The sequence below is a fragment of the Homo sapiens genome, chromosome 16 (assembly GCF_000001405.40).
Source record: "Homo sapiens chromosome 16, GRCh38.p14 Primary Assembly".
Taxonomy (NCBI): Eukaryota; Metazoa; Chordata; class Mammalia; order Primates; family Hominidae; genus Homo; species Homo sapiens.
In genome coordinates, this window is record NC_000016.10 from 17,747,854 (window position 1) to 17,760,200 (window position 12,347).

Sequence of the window (12,347 nt, forward strand, 5' to 3'; positions counted from 1 at the left end):
GCACGGGTGGGCGCGCCCTTTAGCAACTGGGAAGAAAGCTCAGAGTTCAGGAGGCAACTAGGAGAAACGGCGAAGCGCCTCTCTGGGGATGGAAGGTCCGTGTTGGCTGCTGGTTGCCCTCTGTGACCGGGTCAGCTCTCCTGTGACCCATCGTCCTCGGCAGAGCCAGCAGTACATTTCCAAATGCCAGACATCAGAGGCTCAGGAAAGATGCTCAGCCCGATTCCGACAGAGCAGGTTAGGGGCAGGCATATGCTTGGTGGCACGCAGCCTAATCTCAGAGAAAGTGTTCTGATAGAAAGATTCATGATAGCCATCCGGGCTGCAGACACCAGGCCTTAACTTCCAATTCCAAGAGCCCTGCGGTGCACGCCTCTTACCCGGCGGCTGGCATTGCAGCAGGTCTCAGGCCAGGCAGATTTACAGCATATTATCAGCAAATGAATGTCACAGCTGGTCTTTGTGCTTCAGAGGAAAGGAAAAGAAAGGAGGACAGTTCAGAAAAAAAGGAGGCTTCAGGATCCAGATGATTCTGAATCCCTTTCTAACCTTCTGTGTAGACAGGCTGGAGCTACAGGGTGGGGTGGGCATAAGAACCCTGCAGCCATTGTCTACAGAAGGCACTGAAGTCTGCAGGGGTGGGTGAGCGCAATGCAGCAAACCAGGGTGTTTCCATAACAAAGGGGAGCATGCTGGCCTCCCCACTCCAGCAGAAAGGGCTGGGAGGAGAGAACAGTATCTCAACTCTGCAGCTCAAACACACTTCCTCATCTGTTGGAGCACGGTGGTCCAATGTGTCTCTGACGCATGGCCTCCTGGGGACCACAAGGGGGTAAAGGAGGTGACTTTAGGGTAGGGACTCCCAGGATCACAGCCTCTTCTCTAATTCCAGGCAGGAGGACAGGGCCATAAAAAAACACAAGTTCTGTTTTACTTTTCTCCAACTGGCTATAATGAAAAGGTTCAAATATTCAGAAAAGTTGTAAAAGTAATGCAATAAATAGCACCTAGATTCAATGGCTAATATTTCGTTAGCAATGCTCTATCATACCTGTTTGATGTATGTGTGTATATTCTTTCTGCACTATGTGAAGTTGCAGTCATCGTGATTCATTACCCCTAAATACTTCTGTCTTCTAGGAAAAAGGCATTCTCCCTTCTACAACCACAACACCAATTATCACACCTAAGAAAATGAAAATTCTATATCATCTAATATCCAAATTCAAATTTCCTCATTTGTCCCAAGAATGCATTTAACACATTTTCAAAAATGCATTCTTGTGACACTTCGATCAAGATCCATGCACTATATATTTACTATGTCGTTGTAGCATCTTTTAATCTGGACCCGCCACAACCCCCTCTACATTTTTATTACACTGATTTTATGTAGAGTCCAGTTGTCTTGCAGAATGTCCCACATTCTGGATTTGCCAGATTGCTTTCCCATGTTGTCGTTTCACTTTTTTCTCTGTCTCACATATTTTCTGTGAACTGGAATTTGAGCCTCGATATGATCGAGGTTCGATTCTAGTTAATTTCGTGAATTAGATTTATGCTTTACCTTTTCAGCAAGGAACCTTTTTAGAGGGCACTCTGCACTTCATATGGCATTACATTACTACATTCAGTGGTAAATAACATAAGGGTGTCACGCTATCAATGAAGAAAAGTGTGTCACTTGGTTAAGGCGGTGACAGCTGGTCACCTATTGTGAAGACACACTTTACCCTCCTTTACTTTACAAAGATAGCCATGATTGAGGTTGGAACTAGGCAACACCTCTTTTCTCCACCAATCTTTCTCCAAATGGTTATAGCATCTATTGCTAACACCTGCCTGAAATACTTATTAAACTGCAAGTTTAAAAATGATACTTTTCACCACTGATAGGTGTATATATTCACAAGAAAGGAAATCAGCATATCAAAGAGATAGCCCCACTCCCATGTTGGTTGGAGCTGTTCACAATAGACAAGATTTGGAAGCAACCTAAGTGTTCATCAACAGATGAATTGTTGAAGAAAATGTGCTACATATTTACAATGGAGTACTACGCAGCCATAAAAAAGAATGAGATCCTGTCATTTGCAACAACATGGATGGAACTGGAGGACATTATGTTAAGTGAAATACACTAGGCACAGAAAGACAAACTTTGCATGTTTCCACCCATTTCTGGGTGCTAAACATTAAAACAATTGAACTCATGAAGACAGAGGAGAAGAATAGTTACCACAGGCTGGGAAGGGTAGTGGCAGAGGGTGGGGATGATTAATAGGTATAAAAATATAGTTAAATAAAATGAGTAAGACTTAGTATTTGATGGCACAACCGGGTGATTACAGTAATTTATTATACATTAAAACTTTTAAAAATAACTAAAAGGGTCTAATTGGAATGTTTGTAACATAGAGAAATGACAAATGCTTGAGGTGATGGATACCCCATTTACCCTGATGTGATTATTACACATTGTATGCCTGTATCAAAATACATTAGGTACCCCATAAATATATACACTACTATGTACACACAAAAACTAAAAATTAAAAAATGATACTTTTTCTGTCTTTCCTTCTGTTTCTCCTTCTGTATTAGCTGGTATAAGAATTCTTGGCTGGGCACGGTGGCTCACACCTGTAATCCCAGCACTTTGGGAAGCCGAGGAGGGCAGATCACGAGGTCAGGAGTTCGTGACCAGTCTGGCCAACATGGTGAAACCCCGTCTCTACTAAACATACAAAAAAAAAATTAGCCGGGCATGGTGGCATGCATCTGTAATCCCAGCTACTCGGGAGGCTGAGGCAGGGGAATTGCTTGAACCAGGGAGGTGGAGGTTGCAGTGAGCCGATATCGAGCCACTGCACTCCAGCCTGGGTGACAGAGTGAGACTCCGTCTCAAAAAAAAAAAAAAAAGAATTCTTAAATAAGTTCTTTCGTTTTCTTTCCCTCTTCTTTCTAAAAGTCCCTATAGGCTTAGAAATTTTAGCCATTCAACATATAACAGACAACTTCTGTCATTTCTCAAACTAAAATTCTCCCAAATTTGGCTATTGCGAGCCCCACAAACCTGGATTTGGGGCTCTTTTGACACATTTCCATCATTTTTGACACATCTTTGCTTTCTGAAACAATTGGATGACCCAAGCTCACTTCATACATCTCTACCACAGACCCGGAGTAAATCATTCCTCCAAAGAATGAGGCTCCTTTCAGCAGGGGGTGGCATTTTTAAACCAAAATCTGGGCTTCAGATGTGATAAGCACAGATTCTGCTGCCAGATAACATGGGTTTAAATCTTAATCCAAGTAGGGCATGGTGGCTCACGGCTGTAATCCCAGCACTTTGGGAGGCTGAGGCAGCAGAATCGATTGAGCCCAGGAGTTCAAAACCAGCCTGGGCAGCACAGTGAGACTCTATTAAAAAAAAAAAAATAGCCAGGTATAGTGGCACATGCCTGTAGTCCCAGTTACTCAGGAGGCTGAGGCATGATAATTGCTTGAGCCTGGGAGGCCAAGGCGCGCGGATCACCTGAGGTCAGGAGTTCAGAACCATCCTGGCCAATATGGTGAAACCCCATCTCTACTAAAAATACAAAAATTAGCCAGGCGTGGTGGCACATGCCTGTAGTCCCAGCTACTCAGGAGGCTGAGGCAGGAGAATCACTTGAACCTGGGAGGGAGAGGTTGCAGTGAGCTGAGATTGCACCACTGCATTCCAGCCTGGGCAACAGAGTGAGACTTTGTCTCAAAAAAAAAAAAAAAAAATGTCTAATTCAGCCACCTACTAGCTGTGTGGTCTCATGTAAATCACCTCACAGTTCTGTATGTCAATTTTCTCATCTGTAGAATGGGGGTAGTAACAATAATATATTCCACTTTGTTACATTGTTAAAAGGATTAACTATGTTCCTCTTTGTGAAGCCATTCAAACAGTACTTGGCACCCAGTGAGTGCTATACAGATGTTTGTTAAATATATATGTGGCCTTACAACTTATGAAGACGGGGGAGAGGGTGGAAAAGACCCTCAGGCATCCTGAGACAGAGACAGAAAATTCTTTTTAAAGATCTTATTCAACTTGGATGAACATAAGTGAAAATATCATTATGTTTATTTTTACTCTCTTTCCATCTATTAATGGCAAGTCACACTGACATGGGAACTGATTTGACATGTGGAGTCTTGAATCAAAATTTCCTTCCTAATAATGAAAGTAAATTTTTATTCAAGTAAAATAGAGATGCACAACAAAGCTTCCTTTTAAAATAAGCGTATTTTTTAAAAAATCAAATGAGATGATTTTTAAAAAATGACTAATTCCTAACAGCTATGAAATGCAATATGTCAAAAATGAATGATGATGGAATGACAGCAATCAAGGTTTGGGCAATACTCTAATAAAGATGCCTGGGAGGGAATCCTTATTCCTATTGTTTGGAAAGATGTTTCATTTTTTAAATTAAAATAATTATTTTAATAAGCTCTGGATGCATGTGTTATAAGGTCCACCACCATCTGAGTCCTTCAAGGCTGAAGATCCAATAGGAGAGCGCAGGAGATCTCCATGAGACAACAGAAATGAAGTTGAAAATTCACCTTAATCATATTTTCCCCACCTGCCTTTCAGTGAGGAGATGTGGGTGGAGGAAGGGCTGAAATTTCCAGGAGGGCTGCTCCTGGGAGAAGATCGTATAGCCCTATGTGGGGTGCTATACATGCCCCCACATATATTTCTATATGCCTTGGTCATAAATGCTTATCCCTTGGATTTTGCATAAATGCAAAAATAAATAAGTGAAGAATTAAAAAATAAATGCTCATCTTAAACACAGCATCGGAAGCCATAGACCGTCTGCATTGCGGGTTCTCTATATATAGAATGAGAATTCCCTTTCCATCCACAATCACCTTTGACTTCTTCGTATTAAAACCTGGACCCCAAAGAGCAGCAACTACAAAATGGGATTCATTGACCAGCAGTTCACAGAGGTCCAAAAACAAACTTAGTTAAGAGCCGAGGGTAGGAAGAGGCAAGAATCAAGGATGGCCATGCTCAAGCAGAGAGAGGCAAAGGAAAGCAAGGATGGAGTCTGTGTGTGGTGTTTGCTGTATTGACGGACGTTCAGTTTTATGCTTTGACCTCCAGTCAACTCATCAGCCCTTTCATGAGTATCTATCACGTGCCAAAACCCAGAGGAACTCAAAAGAAACATCCTACAGCATTACCTAATGATTCCAACCATTACATGTGCTCTTTTCACTGATAGCCCTGGCTGGAAACTGAGGTTTTAATCAGGTGGCAATTTCAGGGTCTTTAGAGAACCATCCTATGAGAAGTCACTGCAGGGTGACTATTTCTTGGAATTTGTAGATCATGAAAATGGGAGTAGTGCCCTAGCCTAGGCTCTCCCCTCCTCCCCTTATTCTTTCCTTCAGTCACTTATTCTCATGCAGCTTCAGAAGATGGAAGTTCTCACACCGCCGTGAAAATGATCAGCTGGAACGGGACCCTCTCCAGAGTACATTTGAGGGTACGGTAGATGTAAAGTGGTAGTGTTTTCTCAACCAAAAATTGAGACATGCGATCTGCCAAAAATAAGTCCCTGTGGGGACAGAGAGACAGGCTATTTTTAAGGTGGGACTCCCTCCGAAAATCCGGGGTGGAAGCTGATGACAATTGTAGTGGGGTGTTCCCTCTAGTGAGTTTTGCACAAGTGCCATTTAGCGTCTGTCTCTGTGCTTTTCTCACATACCCAAAGCATCTGCCAGCAGTTGTGTCTGCATGTGCTTTGCAATAGACAGGGAAGGGAGATGCGAGCCCAGAACTCTTTCCTGTATGTGGAATATAGAACTCCCAGGCATAAACAAGCCCCATGAAGACAGAATACGATAAGGAGGTTGGCAGTTGCAGTGGGATGTCCTGATTTTTCTCTCCTCTGGATCCCTGCCCTGAAATAATCAGAAGAAAGCTTCTCAAGTTGATGTCTTTATAGAGTAATACCTGGAGAAATTTTTTAATTTTAAATTTTCTTAAAATGCCAAAATAATTAAGGATAATAGAGTCCCTGCTGTGGAATAAGAACCATTCAATTAGTTGAAGTACACTCCTGTCAATCTTGTAAACAACCGGGGATATAAAATTAAGGACAGCCACAAGAGAATGAAAACTGTGAAGTCAGGATCTGAGGGTGCTGTTTCTGCAAGTGGGCATTCAACAAACATTAGTTCATAAATGAATGAATGAATGAACTCTACCTAAGTTGCAAATTAAGAGCCTACATATTTTCTTTATGTCTTTTACATTAGATTTGTGAAGAACAAATCTGACTGATTCAGTCCAGACTATGCAGTAATTCATCTTGGATCACATGACTCACTCCATCCATTCAGCTGTGGCCACAAGGATGGATTCTACAGTAGAAATAGCACTCTAGGATCAGGGATGGGTAGGGAACTTCCAAAGAAGGAAATATGGATAGAGCAGGCACCCCAAAACTTGATCTCAGCCTTCAGTTCTTTGCTAAGGGCATGACAAGGATTATTCGTTCAGTGTGGCTAAGGGAATTATCCTGGTCTGGTTTGCGTGATCTTCGGTGGCTCCCATATGGTTTTAGTATATGTTGGAATGGTTATGTTTTGCTTCTGTTCTAAAGCCCTAAGTTTGCTTCTGAATTACCCATAATAGTGCAGATGCTTGCTTTCTTCCAATGCATTTTGTTGCAAGATTTGAGCTCACTCTCTCGCAACCCCTTCTCCTCCCCTTCTCCCTTTCCCTTTCCCTCTTGCTTCCTCTCTTTGGTTCTCCTCCCTGCCACCCAAGTACTTTGCTGCCGCACCTCTGTACTGTTTCTCATTAGAGTCTTTCCTGCAGAATTAATATTCTTCTGTGGAACTCAGGGAGGGCTGGTTATTGTGTTTGGGTGAGAAGGGTTCGTTATTCTTCTTTGAAATCTGAGCTATAAACAGGCTCCCTGTTGCATAGGGAAATGTAGCCATGATACTTTTTGTATAACTATAATGCTATTACGTATTCCCCCAGCCCTAGAAAATGCAATGAATGGGCATTATGGTTTAATCACTCTTTTCCCAGTGTTATGTGTCCTGCACTTATACATAGGACACTTAATATAAGGTTGGTTATCTATACACCATCTAGTCATGACAATGAGAAATAGGTCTGAGTCTCATGTTTACAACAGTATAACAGGTTAGTAAGGTAGTACTCTATCAAATGATGTTGGATCCTCCTAAGGGCACATACAGAATTGTACTTCTTCACTCTTTTGATGTTAGACATGAGCATGTGACTTGTTTTGTCCAGTGAAGCATGAGCAGAAATAGAACATATCACTTACAAATGGAAATGTTACCAGCCAATGTGTGATTTTTTTTTCCATCTACTTTTTACCTCTACCACGCTGGCAACACTCCAAAGTAGACATTCCATAGGCCTGGATCTTGGAGCTAGGAGAACCTTCAGTAACTTCTGATAGACCTTCCTCTAAGCCACAGCAATATGGGTTGTTTGTTACTGCAGCAAAACTTAGCCTATCCTGACTGATATATATATATTTATATATAATATATATATTTTTATATATGTAATATATATACTTTTATATATGTAATATATATATTTTATATATTATATATTATATACATATAATAAAAATATCTCACACATAAAAAAATTTCTTTCATGAATTTATATATCTACCATCCATCTGTTCAAATACATATTGTGCACTTTCTATGCAAAAGGTGTTTGAATAAAAGAGAATTGATTGTAGGAAGTGATATCAAATAGGACATGTGAGATATATATATATATATATATATATATATATACACACACACACACACACACCTATACATATATATACACACATGTATATGTATATACCTGTAATATATACCTGTAATAGGATTGACTATGCGTAAGGCACAGTGCTAAGTATTTTGAATGAATTAGTTTATGAGATTTTTTTAATTAAAATACTTTTTTTGAGACAGAGTCTCACTCTGTGGCCCAGGCTGGGCTGGAGTGCAGTGGCACAATCATGGTTCACTGGACCTTCCAGGCTCAAGTGGTCCTCCCACCTCAGCCTTTCAAGTAGTTGGGACCACAGGCATGCACCACCATGCCTGGCTATTTTTTTTAAAATGTTTTATAGAATCAGGGTCTAACTATATCACCCCGGATGGTCTCAAACTCCTGGGCTCAAATGATCTTTCGGCCTTGGCCTCCCAAAGTGCCCAGATTACAGGCATGAGTCACTAACCCAGCCTTAACTTTTTTTTTTTTTAATCATAAGAACCATTTTATGGTTTAGGAAAAGAAACAAAAAACTAAGAAAAAACAAAACCCGAGCCTCATAGAGTTTCTGTCTCTCACCCAGCATTGCATAGCTAATAAGTCACAGATTTGGGTTTCAAACCAGGTGTGTCTGCCTCCAAACTACTTAATCACTATGCTATATTGCCTCTTTCCAAACACTAAGATAGTTTTGTGTTTCCTCAGAAAACCATGAGAAAGCAAAGAAAAATAAAAACTCTGCCCTTTCAGATCCTTGCAGCCAGCCAGGCTCTCCGGGTTTGGTTTGACAGGTTGTCTTCCCTTCAAAATGAAAAGAGAGGCACATGGACAGAAATAAAGGCCAGCTGTTCAGTGGAGCGAGATACCTGTGTGCACGCCAGCAGAGCCAGGCGATTATTTCAGGAGCCGCTGGAGTTGGCGGCTCCGTTCTCGCCTCCATCCACCCTGGATGCGTAGGCCAGGGCTGACATTACCCAAATAAGGGAGAATCTCCCCAGATTGCATGTTTGTATACAGACTTAGGAAAATGTGAGAGATTCTGGTTAGAACACACTGATACCATCATTAATCAACAACCAGGGAGAGAAATTGAAGGGATGAAAAGGTAGGTTCTTGTACAAGAAAAAGATTTGTGGGAAGAGATTAGAAATATTGAGAAACCAGAGAATATTTTTGCAAACGTTTTTCCATTCTTAAAGTTTCAAAAGTTAACCAATAAAGGCAGCCCCCAAAGAACTCATGTATTTATTCATTCATTTGAAAAATTACTTTCTGAATGTTTGCTGTGTAGGTGACTGAGATGTGAAGATAGAAACAACATTTTATGGAACAAACACTTAGATAAAACCTACTATGTATCAGGCATGATTCCAAATGCTTTACATGTGTTCATTCATTCCATACTCATTTAAAAAATTCCAGAGAGGTAGCTATGCATTATCTCCATTTTGCAGAAGAGGAAACTGAGGCACAGAGAGTTATGTGTTATCTTGCTCAAAATCATGCAACCTTTGGGATTTTTTTTTTTAAATGGAGTCTTGCTCTGTTGCCTAGGCTGGAGTACGGTGGTGCAATCTTGGCTCACTGCAACCTCCACCTCTTGGGTTCAAGCAATTCTCCTGCCTCAGCCTCCCGAGCAGCTGGGACTACAGGTGCGTGCCACCACGCCTAGCTAATTTTTTGTATTTTTAGTAGAGACGGGGTTTCACTGTGTTAGCCAGGATGGTCTTGATCTCCTGACCTCGTGACCCGCTGCCTCGCCCTCCCAAAGCGCTGGGATTACAAGCATGAGCCACCTCGCCTGGCCAGCCTTTGGGATTTGATCCCTGGTGGGTCTGGCTTCCACACTGTGCTGATAGCATACTACCTCACAGGGTCTTGGTCTTCAAGCTCGCATGTCAGTAGAGAAGAGAGAAAGAAATAATCTTTTTTTTTTAAATTTTATTATTATTATACTTTAAGTTTTAGGGTACATGTGCACAACGTGCAGGTTTGTTACATATGCATACATGTGCCATGTTGGTGTGCTGCACCCATGAAATCATCTTTTTTTAGAGTGTGAAGCCTGTTTTGATGGAGAGATCTGAGGAGAAAGAATTCAGTTCTACTTGAGGACTTCAGGGAGACTCTTAAATGCTTACATGCATTTGTTAGCCTGGTGGGCAAGTGGAGAAAAGGGCCCCTTAGGTGGAAGGAGTGGTTTGAGCAAATGCAGAGGCAGGAGACAGCCTAGGCTCCTCAGGAAAGTGCTGAGGCATGGAATGTGCAAAGGAGGACAGCAGGAGATAAAGCAAAAAAGGGTACCAGGTCAGAGGAAGGAGGTGCGCCTCTTCCAACTAGGCACTGCAGGGGTTGAGCGTCTGCCTTCTGCAATGCTGATGCACCAGTGGAAAAGCATCCGCTGCTTTGTAGATCTCTCCCAGCTGTGCTGTTGGAAAGGCACCCGGCAGCTGAGTGCAGGGCTGGCTGGGAGGGTAGGTAGCAGAGCTATTGAGAGAGGGCCCTTTAAAATCAGACCCCTCTGAGCTTGAATCTCAGCTCTCAGTTACCACCTGAGTGGTCTCAGGCAACTGACCAAACCTTCCAGAGCCTCAGCTGCCAAATGGGTTGCTGCAAGGGCTACATATAAAAAGTGGTTATTACTAGATCTGGATGTCGATGTTCCACTTAAGAGGATGTTACTATACAGTAGGTGAAGGTAGACACATGGCAGTACTGCCCTGCCATGAACAGGGTTGTTTCTCCCATCTCACAGTGAAAAGGAATTTGTTTGCCCTGATTTATCCATGTTAACACACAGAGCTTCCTGAAAGACCAAATGCAAGGTGAAGTTGATGTGCAGTCAGCAGAGCCAATCAAATTGGCTGATGTGGGAAACCAGCTCACACTCTCCATCTCAATCAAGCGCTCTAATCCAGAGATGTTCCAGCTTTAAAGCACACACAAATCACTGTGATCTTGTTAAAAGGCAGACTCTGACTCAATAGGACTGGGGAGGAGCCTGGGATTCTGCATTTCCCACCATCTCCCCATGCTGCTATTCCATTGACCGCCATTGGCATAGTCTGGCCCCAATCCGCAAGATCACTTTCATCATCCTAAGACCTAAGTTATCAAGCCCAAGAGTGAAAATGCAACCCAATGCCTCTCATTAATTGGCTTATTCTCTCATCCTTCCGTTAAATATTTTCTAAGCATCTACTATGTTCCAGGTCCTGGGAAAATACAGATATATACAACATAGGCCCTGTACTCAATCAGCTTGCCCACCCTATGCACATGGAGAAGGAAAAGAGAAGGGGACTGGCCATTTGGGGGGTACTCACTTCACATATGACATCTCAGTGAATTCTCCCAACATTCTATGAAATTGCAACCATTCAACCCACATTAGAGACTAGGCAACTACAGCCTGCCGAGTAAGGATAGCTCAGGGCTGGGGCGCGGTGGCTCACACCTATAATCCCAGCACTTTGGGAGGCCGAGGTGGGTGGATCACCTGAGGTCAGGAGTTCAAGACCAGCCTGGCCAACATGGCGAAACCCCAACTCTACTAAAAATACGAAAATTAGCCGGATGTGGTGGCACACACCTGTAATCCCAGCTACTCAGGAGGCTGAGGCAGGAGAATCGCTTGAACCCAGGAGGCGGAGGTTCCAGCGAGCCAAGATCACACCACTGCACTCCAGCCTGGGCAATAGCCATTGTTGGCATTGGGATTTGAAGCCACATCTTTTGATTCTGAGATCACTGCCTCGTTTATACTTAACTGTAAGTTGTTGATTGTGTTCTCTTTTTATTTACTTTGAGCTTGGCTGTGTCTCTTTAGTTTTAGAGAGTGAACTTTTTTCCCTCATAAATTTAAATGCTGACATAAGGAGGAAAAATCCTGCTGTAATTGAACAAAAGGATGTTTACAACCTTCTTTGAGTCATAGAGCTCCTGGCACATGAAATTTATGACTGCAAGGAAAGGGGAAATAAAAAGAAGGGGGAAGACCAAGACAGATGTAACTGTGGAAATGGTGTGCTAATGTATGGGTTGACATTCTGACACTTGCACATTCAGTTGGGTAACTTTTTGGAGGCCATTTCACCAGCTAATGAAGATTTACTTAATAAACTCTCAAACTTGCCAGAGCTAGACTCTTTAAAACAACCCTATAAATTACAAAGATGGTGGCATGTTCAAGAGACCTTGCAGTTGTTAAAGGATGGAATGCAGTTGCCAGAGTTACAAAGGTCATTGTCTAGGAATCTTGTGCCCGTCTCTGGAGGGCTGAGGGACCTTTCAAAGGACTGGCTCCGATGTGTGCACCCTATCCAGATAAATGCATACAGATGTTCTTTGAACTTGATCAACTCGCTTCTCAGCATGAATGCAAAATTGATTGGGCCAAATCAGAGCTCGTGCCAGTGAAGGCTGGCTGCATACAGAAATAAAATCAGCCACCTCCCATTTACTTAGAAGTCTCTGGCTTAAAATACATTGGAGGAAAATGTGCGCTTCACGTTAGAGCAGG

General features: G+C 42.4%; 2 annotated features.

Moving 5' to 3' along the window:
* Nucleotides 9,459–10,074: an enhancer, noted in NCBI's record as "OCT4-NANOG-H3K4me1 hESC enhancer chr16:17851169-17851784 (GRCh37/hg19 assembly coordinates)". NCBI's record gives its function as "activates a minimal SCP1, AML or CMV promoter by ChIP-STARR-seq in primed H9 embryonic stem cells {active_cell/tissue: H9 hESC(primed)}" and the evidence as "EXISTENCE:reporter gene assay evidence [ECO:0000049][PMID:30033119]".
* Nucleotides 10,075–10,690: an enhancer, noted in NCBI's record as "OCT4-NANOG-H3K4me1 hESC enhancer chr16:17851785-17852400 (GRCh37/hg19 assembly coordinates)". NCBI's record gives its function as "activates a minimal SCP1, AML or CMV promoter by ChIP-STARR-seq in primed H9 embryonic stem cells {active_cell/tissue: H9 hESC(primed)}" and the evidence as "EXISTENCE:reporter gene assay evidence [ECO:0000049][PMID:30033119]".